We start from the raw sequence: 16,673 nt of genomic DNA, 5'->3' as shown, positions 1-16,673 counted from the left end.
AACCAAGGTCCAATACTGACCCCAAGCTCTTAATTGCCAAGTATTATGACCATGACAAATTAAGGATTTTACCTCAGTAAAATAAAGAAAATAAAGAACTTTTTGACTTAAAAACTGTTTCTTTCATATGGAGATTTCTCAAAGAACTAAAAATAGAACTACCATATGGCCCAGCAATTCCACTACTGGGTATCTACCCAGAGGAAAAGACATCATTATACAAAAAAGGCACCTGTACTTGTATGTTTATTGCAGCACTATTCACAATACCAAAGTGATGGAACTAACCTAAGTGTCCACCAATGGTTGACTAGATAAAGAAAATGTGGTATATATACACTATGGAATACTACACAGCCATAAAAAAGAATGAAATCAGGCTGGGCATGGTTATTCATGCCTGTAATCCCAGCAATTTGGAAGGCTGAGGCAGGACGACTGCTTGAGTCCAGGAGTTCAAGACCAGCCTCGGCAACATAGACAACACCCCATCTCTACAAAAAAAATTTTAAAAATCAACTAGATGCTGTGGTACACATCTGTAGTTCCAGCTACTCAGGAAGCTAACGTGAGAGGATCACCTGAGCCCAAGAGGTTGAGGCTACAGTGAGCCATGATCACACCACTGCACTCATGACAGAGTGAGACTCTGTCTCAAAAAAAAGAATGAAATAATGTCCTTTGCAACAACATGGAGCTAGAGGCCATTATCCTAAGAGAACTAATTCAGAAACAGAAAATCAAATACTCCATGTTCTTACTTATAAGTGGGAGCTGAACAATGGATACACATGGACTTAAACATGGAAATAACAAACATTGGGGACTGGAAAAGGAGGAAGATTGAGGGAGATTGAAAAATTACCTATTGGGTACGATGTTCACTATTTGGATAATGGGTACACCAGAAGCCCAGTCCCCACCAGTAGGCAATATATCCATGTAACAAACATGCACATGTACCCCCGACTCTAAAATAAAATTTCTTTAAAAAAAGAACTGTTTATTTTGCAAACAATGATTTCCGCAGCCACCATCTCAATCCTATCTGTCCAGATCAGGTCCAGAAAACCTGCCTTCCTTCGTAACTTTCAGGGAAGTGTCTGCTCTGAACTCCACTGAGCCCCTGTACAATACTCAATCCTTCCTACTTCAAGTTACTCAAACTTAGTAACATCCTACTTACATGACAAGCTCCATGAGAACAGGGGCAACCAGCTTCTCACATATATTACACTCACCCCCATACAAAGCCTTGCACATACTGTGGCTCAATAAACACTTTCTAAATAAATGTTCCTGAGGCCGAAAGCCTCCCATACTATCCCTACCCTCCAAAGCCCACACCATGAGGGATGTTTTAAGCAAGCACCTTGAAGAGATGTGATTCTTGCATTAGAACTGAAGATTTTATTGGATATGCTCTGAGTTTTTTCCAACTCTGAGAATCTGAGTTAGGAAAAGTCAGAAAGGGACAGATGACGGGCAACATAGGCTTCCGGCTACATCTTCAATCAAGCTACCAAGGACTCCCTTGATTATGACCAGAAATCATGTGTCAGGGACTACATCTATTTATGCGTGCACGTATATGTATATACACTTACATGTATGTGTATACATATACACATATACATGTATATCTGCAAATGCATATCTATCTCTCTGTTCCCTCTGTAAGAAATTAAGCAGACAGGCTGGGCGCAGCGGCTCACACCTGTAATCCCAGCACTCTGGGAGGCCAAGGCAGGCGGATCACCTGAGGTCAGCAGTTTCATACAGCCTGGCCAACATGGTGAAACCCCATCTCTACTAAAAATACTCTACTAAAAATTAGCTGGGCATGGTGGCAGGCACCTGTAATCCCAGCTACGAGGGAGGCTGAGGCAGGAGAATTGCAGGAACCCAGGAGGCGGAGGTTGCAGTGAGCCGAGATCGCACCACGGCACTCCAGCCTGGGAGACAGAGTAAGACTCTGTCTCAAAAAAAAAGAAAGAAATTAAGCAGACAAACATCTACAAGGTTTCTGAGGCCCTGAAGCCAGCGCAAGGATGTACAAATAACTAGGAGTCTCTTTCTTCCCCTGGTATATGAACGGGGTAAGGCAAATAATGCTCTACAGTAATGTTCCCCATAAAATACCAGCACACCTGCCAAGCAGTTCTACCTCCCTCAGGTATCAGCGTCTGACACCCTTTCAAGAAAGTGCCAAGTGGCCAAGCCCTGTTCTTGGAAGAAACGGGAGCTCATATGTGTGAGATGCTTTGAAGAGATGCTCACATACAGTGGAGGGGGAGAAGGAGAAGCATACTTTGGAACATTAAATATTAAATTGGAGGCCACCTGTCAATAGAAAAACTCTAAATAGAACTAGATTCATTTTAGAGAACCCAGGTTTCCAGGCTATACTTCCATTTCTCTGGAAAAAAAAAAAAAAGTTATGCCTACTTTTATACAAAGTAGAAGTCCATCTTCTTACCATATCCAGCTAGTGGCAAGTTCTCTGAGCTAACCTGAGGGTAAAGTGGATGGAGAGCTGGCTGAGAATGCCACACAGCAATCAAGCAAACACTTTGCCCAAGGGTCAAACTAAGTGGAACACTTGTTGACGGAAAAGTCGTGGCATAAACCATTTGTGGTCTCTCCCTAACTTTCTCAGTGTTTTTGAGCAGTAGAGAGAGGACAGGAACCACCAACACAAGTTTTTCCTACCATCACTAGGTTTCTCACCACTGTACCTGGGATATTCTGCTTCTTTCCTTCCTAACCTATCTCCGTCAATAGCATGGCATCTTCTGCCCTTTATGTGCAGCCAATCACCACCCAAGAGAGGCAGAGATCTAACTATCCAAAAAATGCATTCAGACAGATAAAACAAGAGCCAGTGCAAAATGAAACACATCAGCGCCGCTCAGGAAGCTTCCAGGACCAACCACAAACACTCTTTTTCAATTTACAGACAGGTTTTTTCCTTTTTCACCTGACTACTGACTCGCCCAACTTGGGATAACCACCAGTCAGAAGCTTTTAAATGCATGTATCTCATGCCAGGGGGCCAGGTGTAAACCAAGGCCAGTTGAAAACCGGCGCCATTTAATGAGATGTGGGTTTAAATGGGCCTATTTCTTTTTAACCTACCATTGCAGAGCAAGAAGTGAGCTTGGAAGCCTGCAGTTTAGCGATTGTCACCGACCCCTTTTCTAAAGTCAAGGCAATTAGGCCCATGACTGTTAAAAGTCTATCTCAAAGCTCCTGTCCTGCGCACATCAATCACAGTCACGGCTGAAAACAAACACAGAATTTTAAAAATTTCTTTATCCACACCCAAGGACAAGTGTGAGGGCAGCCGAGAAATCATGGCGACAGGAACAGCCGGTGTCCAAGGGGGCAGCTGCTTCTGAGAACTGCTTTGAGACAGGGCAGAGAACCAACCCAAGGTACTTTTCTCTCCCAATGTCTCTCCCCCGGCTCATTCACCATATTTCGGTCCAACAAACTGTTTTTCTCCTTTGAGAGGTTTATGGCGAGGGCAAGAGGGGCCGAAGGGACGCGAAGGGGCGACGCCAGGGATTTGTTGCTACACGTAAAGCTGGAAAACGTGCAGCTGTTTACTACCAGCGCCCCGGAGACGCCGAGCGCAGCTTGCAGCTGAGCGCTCCCCTCGGGCCCCGACCCCGCCTCCCCCACTGTGCCTGCCCCTCCGGCTTTGGAGGCGACGCGCCACCTGCCCTCCCCGACGCGCTCGCCGGACGCCGAGCCGCCCAACCAACACCGCGCGGGCCCCCACGGCATCAGCTCGGTCTCCCCTCAGCCCCCGCGCCCACGCCGCGCGCCGCCCACACCAAGTTACCTCGGAGGCCCGGGTTGTCGTCTCTGGCCCGAATCTTTCGGATTTTGACGGGGCGCCCGCTCAGGGTAGACAGGACCAGACGTTGGCGCAAGAAGTTGCACCCTGCGTAGCTGAGGGAGTGCGCCTGAGTCGCCATGTGCGCGCTCTCCGAAGAGACGTGAGCAGCCCGAGAGCGGCGACTTCGGACAGACGCGGGACTCGTGACTCCGATGGTGGTGGTGGCGGCGACACCGACGGCGGCGGCTCGGGCTGCCTCCAGCAGCCCAGACGCGTCCACGTGGTTTGGAACAGGAAGACGGAGAGACTAGACACCGGGTCAGAGGGGAGCGGGGCGGAGCCAGTGGCCACCTCCCCGCCTCCCCGCCCGACCGGGGCGGCCCCCGCTTCGGGCCACGCCGCTATTGGCCCGCGCCGGATCAGGGCGGTGCCCGCGCCGCGCCTCCATTGGCTTCCGCTGAAGCTGGGCGGTGCCCAAGCCGCGCTGCCATTGGTCCGTAGTGGAGCTGGGCGGTGCCCGGGCCCTGGCAACAGCGCGCGGCTGGAGGGAACGCGGGAGGATGGCCAGGGAACCCCGGCGCGGGAGTTGCCAGTCGGGGCAGTCTCCTCTGTGTACCTCCTGGCGTGGTAGCAAGGGGAGATGGCGGACTGAGATTGATGCCTACGACGTGCCGGATTCTTAGCATTACTACTTACGGCAACTACTGGGGTGAAGATGCTATTATCTACCCCTCCTCTTTCTTACTAAGAGAGACAACAAGGGTTGGTGCACTCACCCTATCGCAGGGATGCCGCTCAGCGCACTGCCGGCGCAGTCCCGCAGCTCCATGCTGTAACCCTGCAAGGTAGAGCCATCCTGTCCTACTCATGGATAAAGGCTCGAGGAATATTGCAAAGCTGACAGTGGCAGCCTATACTGAGACCCGAATCCTCCCACAGCAGGCCGTTGCTTATTTTATTGAGACACCTCTTTGCCCCTTTCTCACGGGTCCCTTCGTTTATCGTCATTGCGTTTCATGGCAATTCAGGCCCTCCTACCTCGCATGCTTCAAGATAGATAGTTGTAATAACTTCACACACACACACGCGCGCAATGCTTTTTCCCTCTTTCCCGTCCTCCTCCAATCCTGCACAAGAAAATCTTCCCAAACGTTGGATTATTTCACTTCTCTACTCAAAAACCTTCCAAAATGTACAGTTAACTAACAAATGACTACACAAGTAGAAGTCCGATATCATAGTAATGTGGGTTTGTAGCCATTCCTGGACAACACTCACCAAACCATGAGTCCCAGAATGCACGGGGGTTCGCGGGGGGAAGGGGGGCGGGGTATGATAGTGTCTGAAAGCGGTGGGAGTTTAAGATTAAGGGATGTAGCTAGCCTTATGTAGACAACAGTGTGTTATAAAGTGGAGTGGAGTGGCATGCTCATGACTCACTGCAGCCTCAACTTCCCGAGTTCTAGTAATCCTCCAACCTCAGCCTCCCCATTAGCTGGAACTACAGGTGTGCACCACCATGCTCAGCTAATTTTTGTATTTTGTATAGACATGGGTTTTTGCCATGTTACCCAGGCTGGTCTCAAACTTCTAACCTCAAGCGATTGGCCCACCTTGGCCTCACAAGTGTGAGCCACCACTCCCAGCCTTTAATCCATTTTTCTTTGATTTTTGTAAATGGCAAGAGATAGAGATCTAGTTTCACTCTTTTGCATATGGATATCCAATTTTCTCAGCATCATTTATTGAAGAGACTGTCCTTTCCCCAGAGTATGTTCTTGGCAACTTTGTCGAAAATGAGTTTACCGTAGCTGTGTGGATTTATCTCTGCGTTCTCCGCTCTGTTCTACTGATCTATGTGTCTGTTTTTATGCCAGTACCATGCCATTTTGTTTACTCTAGCTCTGTAGTATAATTTGAAGTCAGGTAATGTGATTCCTCCAGTTTTGTTCTTTTTGCTTAGGACAGGTTTGGCTATTCTGGGTCTTTTGTGGTTCCATATAATTTTTTTAATTTTTAATTTTTGTAGGTAGATGGTACATGTATATATGAGGTACGGGAGAAGTTTTGATACAGGCATGCAATGTGTGATAATCACATCCTGAAGGATAGGGTACTCATCCCCTCATGCATTTTATTCTTTGTGTTATTATACAAACAAAACAATTATACTGTTTTAGTTATTTTTAAATGAAAATTAAATTATTGTTGACTACAGACACCTTGTTGTGCTATCAAATAGTAGATCTTATTCTTTCTAATTTTTGTACACATTTATTATCCCCACCTGCCCCCCAACATCCCCACCCCCTCTATGTTTTCCAGTCTCTAGTAACCATCCTTCTACTCTCTATTTCCATGAGTTAAATTGTTTTGATTGTTTGATCCCACAAATAGGTGAGAACATGTGATGTTTTTCTTTCTGTGCCTGGCTTATTTCACTTAACATAATGATCTCCAGTTTCATCCATGTTGTTGCAAATGACAGGATTTCATTCTTTTTTATGGCTGAATAATACTATATTGTGTATATGTATCACATTTTCTTTATCCATTCATCTGTTGATGGACACTTTGACTGTTTTCAAATTTTAGCTATTGTGAAGAGTGCTGCAACAAACATGGGAGTGCAGATATTTCTTTGATATGCTGATTTCCTTTCTTTTGGGTATACACGCAGCAGTGGGATTGCTGAATCATATGGTAGCTCTATTTTTAGTTTTTTGAGGCACCTCCAAACTGTTCTCCATAGTGGTTGCACGAATTTACATTCCCACCAACAGTGTACAAGGGTTCCATTTTCTCCACATCCTCACCAGTATTTGTTATCGCCTGTCTTTTGAATATAAGCCATCTTAACTGGGATGAGATGATATCTCAAAATGAGTAGTTTGCAGATATGTTTTCTCACTCTTTGGGTTGTCTCTTCAGTTTGTTGATTGTTTCCTTTGCTGTGCAGAAGCTTTTTAACTTGATATGATCCCATTTTTGCTTTGGTTGCGTATGCTTGTGGGTTATTAATCAAGAAATTTTTGCCTAACCAATGTCCTAGAGATTTTCCCCAATATTTTCTGTAGCCATTTCATAGTTTGAGGTCTTAGATATAAGTCTTTAATCCATTTTGATTTGGTTTTTGTACACGGCAAGAGAAAGCAGTCTAGTTTTACTCTTCTGCATATGGATATCCAGGTCTCCCAGCACCATTTATTGAAGAGATTGTTTTTTCCCCAGTGTATGTTATTGGCACCTTTATTGAAAATGAGTTCACTGTAGGGTTATAGATTTGTTTTTGGGTTCTCTATTCTGTTCCACTGGTCCATTTGTCTGTTTTTATGCGAGTACCATGCCATTTTGGTTACTATAGTATTTTTTTTTAATTTTTCTTTTTTTTTTTTTTTTTTTTTGAGACAGAGTCTCACTCTGTCACCCAGGCTGGAGTGCAGTGGCATGATCTCAGCTCACTGCAACCTCCACCTCCTACGTTCAAGCGATTCTCATGTTTCAGCCTTCTGAGTAGCTGAGATTACAGGCATGCACCAACACATCCAGCTAATTGTAGTATAATTTGAAATCAGGTAATGTGATTCCTCCAGTTTTGTTCTTTTTCTTAGGATAGCTTTGGCTATTCTGGGTCTTTTGTGGTTTTATATAAATTTTAGGATTTTTTTTCTATATCTGTGAAGAATATTATTGGTATTTTAATAGAGACTGCTTTGGGTAGTATGGATATTTTACCAATGTTGATTCTTCCAACCTGTCAACATAAAATACCTTACTATTTTTTGTGGCCTCTTCAAAATCTTACATCAATATTTTATAGTTATCATTGTAGAGATCTTTCACTTCTTAAGTTCATTTCTAGGTATTTTATTTTCTTTTTAGCTATTGTAAATGGGATCACTTTCTTGATTTCTTTTTTGGATTGTTCATTGTTGGCATAGAGAAATACTACTGATTTTTGTGTGTTAATTTTGTATCCTGCAAATTTACTGAATTTGTTTATTAGTTCTAATATTTATTTGGTGGACTTTGGGTTTTTCTAAATATAAAATTATATCATCTAAAAACAAGGAAAATTTTTTCTTCTTTCTTTCCCCTCCCTCCCTCCCGTCCTTCCTTCCTTCCTTCCTTTTCTTTCTTTTCTTTCTTTCTTTTTTCTTTCCCCCCGCCTTTTTTTTTTTTTTTTTTTTTGAGACAGGATCTCACTCGGTCACCCAGGCTGGAGTGCAGTGGCATGATCATGGCTCACTGAAGCCTCAACGCCCCAGGCCCAAGTGATCCTCCCACTTCAGCCTCCCTGGTAGCTGGGACTACAGGCATGTACAGGCATGCTCCATCACACTCAGCTAATTTTTTAATTTTTTTGTAGAGATGATATTTCACTGTGTTGCCCATGCTTGTCTCAAAGCAATCTGCCTGCCTCGGCCTCCCAAAGTTCCGAGATTACAGGCATGAGCCACCCACACCCAAGGGTAATTAAATTTCTTCATTTCCTATTTGAATCCCCTTTATTTCTTTCGCTTGTCCAATTGCTGTAGCTGCAAACTTCCAGTACTATGTTGAATAAGAGTGGTGAAAGTGGGAATCCTTGTCATGTTCTGATCAAAGAAGAAAGGTGGCCAGTGTGGTGGCTCACACTTGTAATCCTAGCACTTTGGGAGGCTAAGGCGGGCAGATCACCTAAGGCTAGGAGTTTGAGACCAGCTTGGCCAACACGGTGAAACTCCATTTGGGTGTGGTAGCATGCACCTGTAATCCCAGCTACTGGTGAGGCTGAGACATGAGAATTGTTTGCATCTGGGAGGCAGAGGTTGCAGCGAGCTGAGATCGCACCACTGTACTCCAGGCTAGGTGACAGAGCAAGACTGTGTCTCAAAAAAAAAAAAAAAGATGAAAGGCTTTCAGTTTTTCCCCATTCAGTATGATATTAGCTGTGGGTATATCATATGTGGCTTTTATTATATTGAGGGATGTCTTTCTATACTCAGTATTGTTAGGGCTTTTATGAGGAAGCGATACTGGATTTTATCAAGTGCTTTTTCAGCATCAATTGAAATGATCATTTGATCATTTTTGTCCTTCATTCTCTTGCTATGATGTATTACATTACTTAATTTGCATATGTTGAACCACCCTTGCATCCCTGGGATGAATCACACTTGGTCATGATGAATGATCTTTTTAATGTGTTGTTGAATTCAGTTTCATTGAGAATTTTTGGATCAGTATTCATCAGAAACATTGGCTTGAAGTTTGCTTTATTTGATGTGTCTTTGTCTGTTTTTGGTATCAGGGTAGTACTGATCTCATAGAATGAGTTTGGAAGTATTCCCTTCTTCTCTATTTTTTGGAATAGTGTAAGTAGAATTGGTATTAGTTCTTCTTTAAATGTTTGGTAGAATTCAGCAGCAAAACCATCAGGTCCTGGGCTTTACTTTGCTGGGAGAGTGTTTATTAATTCTATATCATTACTTGTTATTGATTTGTTCAGCAGTGAAACCATCAGGTCCTGGGCTTTACTTTGCTGGGAGACTTTTTATTAGTTCTATATCACTACTTCTTATTGATTTGTTCAGGTTTTGCATTTCTTCATAGTTCAGTTTTGGTAGGGTGTATGTGTCCAAGAATTTATCCCTTTCTTTTAGATTTTTCAATTTGTTGGTATATAGTCACTCATCATAGCCACTAATGATGCTTTGAATTTCTGCAGTGTCAGTGGTAATGTCTCTTTTTTCATCTCTAATTTTATTTATTTGTGTCTTCTCTCTCTTTTTTAGTTAGTCTAGATAAAGGTTTGTCAATTTTGTTTATGTTTTCAAAACACCAACTTTTTGTTTTCTTGATCTTTTGTTTGTTTTCTTCATTTCAAATTCATTTATTTCTGCTCTGATCTTTATTATTTCTTTTTTCTACTAATTTTGGGTTTGGTTTGCTCTTTCTTTTCTAGTTCTTTAATATGCATCATTAGGTTGTTTCTTTGAAATATTTTTTCTTTTTTTGATGTAGGCACTTATAGCTATAAATTTCCCTGTTAGTACTGGGTTTGCTGTATCCCATAGGTTTCGATATGTTGCATGTCTACTATCATTTGTTTCAAGAAAATTTTCTATTTCTTAACTTCCTCACTGACCCACTGGTCATTCAGGAGCATACTGTTTTATTTCCATGTGTTTCCAAAATTCCTCATTACTGATTTCTAGTTATATGGCATTGTGGTCAGAGAAAATGCTTGATGTTATTTCAGTGTTTTTCAGAATGTTTTAAGACTTGTTTTGTAACCTAACAAATGGTCTGTCTTTGAGAATGGTCCATTGGCTGAGGAAAAGAATGTATATTCTGTAGATACTGTATGAAATACTGTGTAAATACCTATTACGTCCATTGGGTCTATAGTGCAGTTTGATGTTTTTTTGTTGATTCTATGTCTGGAAGAGCTGTCCAATGCTGAAAGTGGGGTAAGTCTCCAGCTACTATTGTATTGGACCTCTTACTGTATTAGTCTGTTCTCATGCTGCTAATAAAGACATACCTGAGACTGGATAATTTATAAAGAAAAAGAGGCTAGCCAGGCGCGGTGACTCATGCCTCTAATTCTAGCACTTTGGGAGTCCGAGGCAGGTGGATCACAAGGTCAGGAGTTCGAGACCAGCCTGGCCAACACAGAGAAACCCCATCTCTACTAAAACTACAAAAATTGGTCAGGCATGGTGGTGCGCACCTATAATCCCAGCTACTCAGGAGGCTGCGGCATGAGAATCGCTTGAACCCGGGAGGTGCAGTTTGCAGTGAGCCAAGATTGCACCACTGCACTCCAGCCTGGGCGACAGAGCAAGACTCCATCTCAAAAAAATAAAAATAAAGAAAAAGAGCTTTAATGGACTCACAGTTCTACGTGGCTGAGGAGGCCTCACATGATCATGGAGGAAGGTGAAGGAGGAGCAAAGGCACGTCTTACATGGTAGCAGGCAAGAGAACATGTGCATGGGAACAGCCCTTTATAAAACCATCAGATCTCATGAGACTTATTCACTATCACAAGAACAGCACAGGAAACCCCTGCCCCCACCATGATTCAATTACCTCTCACCAGGTCCCTCCCATGACACATGGAGATTATGGGAATTACAATTCAAAATGAGATTTGGCTGGGGAAAACAGCCAAACCATATCAGGGTCTATCTCTCTAGCTCTAATAATATTTTATATTATTAGATATATATATGATCATAAAGATATATATAATTATATATTATATATTATAAAGATATATATTATTAGCTATATGTTTATATATATATATATATATATATATATGAGTGTTCCAGTGTTGGGTGCATATATATTTTCAATTGTTATACCCTTTTACTGAATTCACCCCTTTATCATTATATAGTTACCTTCTGTGTCTCTTTTTATGGGTTTTGTTTAGAAATCTATTTTGTCTGATATAAGTATAGCTATTCCTGCTCTTTTTTTCATTTCCATTGGCATGGAATATCTTTTTTCCATCTCTTTATTTTCAGTTCATGTATGTCTTCATAGGTGACATATGTTTCTTTTTTTTTTAAATTAAACTTTAAGTTCTGGGATACCTGTGCAGAACATGCAGGTTTGTTACATAGGTATACGTGTGCCATGGTTGTTCGCTGCATCCATCAACCCATCATTTGGGTTTTAAGCCCCACATGTTTTAGATATTTGTCCTAATGCTCTCCCTCCCCTTGCCCCCCACCCCGTGACAGGCCCCGATGTGTTATGTTCCCCTCCCTGTGTCCATGTGTTCTCATTGTTCAACTCCCCCTTATGAGTGAGAACATGCAGTGTTTGGTTTTCTGTTCCTGTGTTAGTTTGCTGAGAATGATGGTTTCCAGCTTCATCCATGTCCCTGCAAAGGACACGAATGCATTCTTTTTTATGACTGGAAGTGTGTTCCTTATAGGCAATACATCCTTGGGTCTTTTTTTAAAAATACATTCAGCCAATCTATGTCTTTTGATTGGAGAGTTTAGTCCATTTACATTCAATGTTATGATTGCTAAGTAGACTTACTCCTGCCGTTTTGTTATCTGTTTTCTGGTTGTTTTGTGATCTTCTCCTCCTTCTTTCCTTCTTTCCTGTCTTCATTTTAGTGAAGGTGATTTTCTCTGGTGGTATTATTTAATTTCTTGCTTTTTATTTTTTGCGTATTTGTTGTATGTTTTTTGATTTGAGGTTACTATGAGGCTTTCAAATACTGTCTTATAACCCATTATTTTAAGCTGATTACAACTTAACACTTTGCATAAACCAGCAAAAAAACCTAATAAGAATTCTATACTTTAACTTCATCTCTGCATTTTTCACCATTTTGTTTTTTCTATTTATATTTTATTGTGCTGTCTATGTCTTGAAAAGTTGCTATAGTTATAATTTTTGATTCATTCATCATTCGTTCTTTCTACTTAAAAGTAGTTTACACACCACAGTTACAGCGTTATAATCTGTGGTTTTCTGTGTGCTTACTATTACTAGTGAGTTTTGTACCTTCAGATAATTTCTTCTTGGTCATTAACATTCTTTCTTTCAGATTGAAGAACTCCCTTTAGCATTTCTGTAGGGCAGGTCTGGTGATGATGTAATCTTCAGCTTTTGTTTTCCCTGGAAAGTCTTTATTGCCTTTTCATGTTTGAAGGATATTTTCACTGGATATATACTCTTCTAGGGTGAAAGTTTTTTTCCTTCAGCACTTTAAATATGTCATACCATTCTCTCCTGGCCTGTAAAGTTTCCACTGAAAAGTCTGTTGCCAGATGTATTGGAGCTCCATTCTTTGTTATTTATTTATTTTCTCTTTCTGCTTTTAGGATCCTTTCTTTATCTTTGACCTTTGGGAGTGTGATAAAATGCCTTGAGGTAGTCTTCTTTCGGTTAAATCTGCTGGATGTTCTATAACCTTCTTGTACTTCGATACTGATATCTTTCTGTAGGTTTGGGAAGTTCTCTGTTATTATCCCTTTGAATAAACTTTCTACCCCTATCTCTTTCTCTGTCTCCTCTTTAAGGCCAATAACTCTTAGATTTGCCCTGTTGGGGCTATTTTCTAGATCCTGTAGACATGCCTCATTGTTTTTTATTCTTTTTTCTTTTGTCTCCTCTATGTATTTTCAAATAGCCTGTCTTCAAGCTCACTAATTCTTTTTTCTGCTTGATCTATTCTGCTATTAAAAGACTCTGATGTGGCCAGGCACAGTGGCTCACACCTGTAGTCCCAGGACTTTGGGAGGCCAAGGCGGGTGGCTCACCTGAGGTCAGGAGTTCGAGACCACCCTAGCCAACATAGTGAAACCCCATCTCTACCAAAAATACAAAAATTAGCCAGGTGTAGTGGCGCATGCCTGTAATCCCAGCTACTCAGGAGGCCGAGGCAGGAGAATCACTTGAACCCAGGAGGTGGAGGTCACAGTGAGCTGAGATCACAGCCACTACACTCCAGCCTGGGCGACACAGTAAGGCTCTGTCTCAAAAAAAAAAAAAGAAAAAAAAAAGACTCTGATGCATTCTACAGTGTGTCAACTCCAGAATTTCTGCTTGATACTTTTTAATTATTTTGATCTCTTTTTAAAATTCATCTGACAGAATTCTGAATTCCTTCTCTGTGTTATTTTGAATTTCTTTGTATTTCCTCAAAACAGCTATTTTGAAGTCTCTGTCTGAAAAGGAATCCTGTTTTTCCAGGATTGGCCCCTGGTGACTTATTTAGCTCACCTAGTGAGGTCATGTTTTCTTGGATGGTCTTGTTGCTAGTGGATGTTCGTCTGTGTCTGGACATTGAGGAGTTAAGTATCTATTGTAGTCTTCACAGTCTGGGCTTGTTTGTACTTGTCTTTCTTTGGAAGGCTTTCCAGGTATTCAAGAGGACTTGGGGCTGGGCGTGGTGGCTCATGCCTGTAATCCCAGCACTCTGGGAGACCGAGGCGGGTGGATCACCTGAGGTCAGGAGTTTGAGACCAGCCTGGCCAACATGGTGAAACTTTGTCTCTACTAAAAATACAAAAATTAGCTGGGCATGGTGGCACATGCTTGTAATCCCAGCTACTCCGGAGGCTGAGTTCAATCACTTGAACCCAGGAAGCAGAGGTTGCAGTGAGCTGAGATCATACCATTGCATTCCAGCCTCGGCGACAGAGCGAGACTCCGTCTCAAAAAAAAAAAAAAAAATCAAAAGGACTTGGGGGTTGTGATCTAAGCCACATCTGAATTAGGAGGCATCTCAAGCTCAGTAATGCTGTGGTTCTTGCAGACTTGTAGAGGTACCACTTTGATGATTTGGATAAGATCTGGAAGAATTCTTTGGATTACCAGGCTGAGAATCTTGTTCTCTTCCCTTACTTTCTCCCAAACTAATGGAGTCTCTGTACTGAGCCACCTGGAGTTGAGGGTGTATTGATGCAAGCACTCCTGTGGCCACCACCACGGGTACTGTGCTGGTTCAGACCTGAAGACTGGTCTTACCCAAGACATGCTGTAACCACTACCTGTCTACTACCTATGTTCAATCAAGGGCTTGGGCCTCTATAGTCAGCAGGTGGTGAAGCCAACCAGGCTATGTCCTTCACTTCAAGGTGGTAAGTTCCCCCAGGCCCCAGGTGGGTCCATTGTTGTCATCCCAGGACCAGGGACTAGAATTAAATACCTTAGCAGTCTACCTGGTGTTCTATTGTACTGTGGCTGAGCTGGCACTCAAACCTCAAGATGCACTGCTTCCCACTCTTCCCTGTACTTTCCACAGGCAGAGTAGCCTCACCCTGTGGCTACCACAAGCCCATGGGAGTACTGCCAGGCTACCACCCATGTTCCCTTAGGGCCCAAGGGCTCTTCAGTCAGCTTGTGGTGCATCCTGCCTGGCCTGGGACTCACCCTTCAGGGCAGTGGGCTCCCCTATGGCCCAGGACACACCCAGAAATGCGCTGTCAGAGACCAGTCATGGAATCAGGGAACTCAAGAGCCAGTTTGGTGCTGTAACCCCCTGTGACTGAGCTGGTACATAAGGTGTAAGAAAAAGTCTGCTTTTGTGCTTGGTGAATTAGAAGTATATTAAAAAGCTCTTCCTGTCTGTGCCAGGGTGGCATGTGGTCCATGCCATGCAACAGAGATGCTCAGGCTGTGCCCTTAGGATGACCAAGTGGGAGACAGCAGCACCAGAGATGGCAGAAACCCCCAACATCCAGCTCTTTGGGAGGTGGAGCACCGATGATGTGCAGATCAATGACATTTCCCTGAAGGATTACATTGCAGTGAAGGAGAAGTATGCCAAGTACCTGCTTCACAGTGCAGGGTGGTATGCCCTCCAAGCATTTCCACAAAACACAGTGCCCCATCTTGGAGCACCTCACTAACTCCATGAAGATGCATGGCCACAATAATGGCAAGAAACCCATGACCATGCACATTGTCAAGCATGCCTTTGAGATCATCCACCTGCTCATGAATGAGAACACTCTTCGAGTCCTAGTGAATGCCATCATCAACAGTGGTCCCTGGGAGGACTCCACATGCATTGGGTGAGCCAAGACCATGAGATGACAGGCTGTGGACGTGTACCCACTGCATGGCATGAATCAGGCCATCTGGCTGCTGTGCAGAGGCACTTGTGAGGCTTCCTTCCAGAACATCAAGACCATTGCTGAGTGCCTGGAAGATGAGCTCATCAATGCCACCAGGGGCTCCTCCAACTCCTATGTCATCAAGAAGGATGAGCTAGAGCATGTGGCCAAGTCCAACCACTGATTTCCAGCTGCTGTCCAATAAACCTGTCTGCCCTTTGGGGTGGCCCCACCAAAAAAAAAAAAAAAAAAAAGAGGAAGATGAAGAAGAAGGAAAAGAAGAAGAAGAATATGTACATTAAAAAATCCCCTTTACTTTTCTCAAGCAGAAGGAGTTTCTTCCCATAGCCACTACAGCTGGGAATGTGCTGAGTCTCACCTGAAACCAACAAGTCTCAAAGTTTCACCCAAGGCCCATGGTGTACTACCTAAGTATTGCTGCTGGTTATCAGGGCCCAAGGGCTCTTTAGTTAGCATACGATGAGTCCTGCCAAAACTGGGTCCTACCCTTCAAGGCAGTAGGTTCTCTTCTGACCCAGGATATGTCTAGAAATATCAAATTCCAAGGGGACTCAAAACTCTAACCGTTGCCCTATTCTCCTAGAGCTGGGCTGGTATCCAAGGTACAAGACAAAGTCTTCTTTACTCTTCTGTCTCCTCACCTTAAGTAGAAGGAAGGGGTGTCTTGGAGCTGTGAGCTGTGCACCCTGGGGTTGGGGGAGGGGTGGCACAAGCAGTCCCTTAGCCATCCTGGCTGGTGTCTCAGTAGGTTGCAAGCACTCCAGTCCACTGGCTCTGAGCCCAGTTCAGCCCTAGGCATTGCCTAGGAGTTGCAGTCCTTGTGTTCTAGACTGCCTATCAGGTTTACATAGAACCCCAGAGCACTTTAGCCCATGGTGAGAGGCTTGCTGGAACTTGCATTCCTACCACTCAGAAGGACAGTTCCTCTCTTGCTCCCACCATGGTAGACGTCAGCTGAGTTCAGCCTAGTTTGGCTTTCTGCGATGACGGGACACCACTGAATTCAATTCAATGTCTCACAGTGCTGTGCTCTCCCTCTCCCAAATGCACAGATTCTCTGCACCAGGCAGCTGCTGCCAGGGGATGGCAGAGAGGTGACATCAAGCAATTCAAGACTGTCTCTCTTACCCTCCTGAGTGCCTCTTTCAGAAATATAAAGTTAAAACCAAATCCAGGGAGTGCTCACCTGATTTTTGGTTCTTACTAGGGTGCTTCTTTTGTGT

At 43.4% G+C, this 16,673-nt stretch overlaps 1 protein-coding gene and 1 pseudogene across 3 annotated transcripts in view, besides 4 other annotated features; one reads left to right on the top strand and one right to left on the bottom strand.

Annotated features, from left to right (window-relative positions):
* RCL1 (RNA terminal phosphate cyclase like 1) overlaps window positions 1-4,134 on the bottom strand; it is a 68,123-nt gene extending 63,989 nt beyond the window's left edge. For all 3 annotated transcript variants that reach the window (NM_005772.5, NM_001286700.2, NM_001286699.2), the window contains exon 1: window positions 3,851-4,134. In NM_005772.5, coding sequence (NP_005763.3) covers window positions 3,851-3,986 — 136 coding nt within the window. In that variant the 5' untranslated portion in view covers window positions 3,987-4,134. The remainder of the gene's footprint in view (window positions 1-3,850) is intronic.
* Window positions 3,384-3,883: an enhancer, noted in NCBI's record as "H3K27ac hESC enhancer chr9:4793195-4793694 (GRCh37/hg19 assembly coordinates)". NCBI's record gives its function as "activates a minimal SCP1, AML or CMV promoter by ChIP-STARR-seq in primed H9 embryonic stem cells {active_cell/tissue: H9 hESC(primed)}" and the evidence as "EXISTENCE:reporter gene assay evidence [ECO:0000049][PMID:30033119]".
* Window positions 3,958-4,007: an enhancer, noted in NCBI's record as "active region_28150". NCBI's record gives its function as "activates an Ori minimal core promoter by ATAC-STARR-seq in GM12878 lymphoblastoid cells {active_cell/tissue: GM12878}" and the evidence as "EXISTENCE:reporter gene assay evidence [ECO:0000049][PMID:35858748]".
* Window positions 4,088-4,447: a silencer, noted in NCBI's record as "silent region_19748". NCBI's record gives its function as "represses an Ori minimal core promoter by ATAC-STARR-seq in GM12878 lymphoblastoid cells {active_cell/tissue: GM12878}" and the evidence as "EXISTENCE:reporter gene assay evidence [ECO:0000049][PMID:35858748]".
* Window positions 4,828-4,877: an enhancer, noted in NCBI's record as "active region_28149". NCBI's record gives its function as "activates an Ori minimal core promoter by ATAC-STARR-seq in GM12878 lymphoblastoid cells {active_cell/tissue: GM12878}" and the evidence as "EXISTENCE:reporter gene assay evidence [ECO:0000049][PMID:35858748]".
* Window positions 14,929-15,661, top strand: RPS5P6 (RPS5 pseudogene 6; annotated as a pseudogene).

The sequence above is a fragment of the Homo sapiens genome, chromosome 9 (genome assembly GCF_000001405.40).
Source record: "Homo sapiens chromosome 9, GRCh38.p14 Primary Assembly".
NCBI lineage: Eukaryota > Metazoa > Chordata > Mammalia > Primates > Hominidae > Homo > Homo sapiens.
Note: the sequence above shows the minus strand (reverse complement) of the source record. Positions and strands in the feature narration are given on the sequence as shown.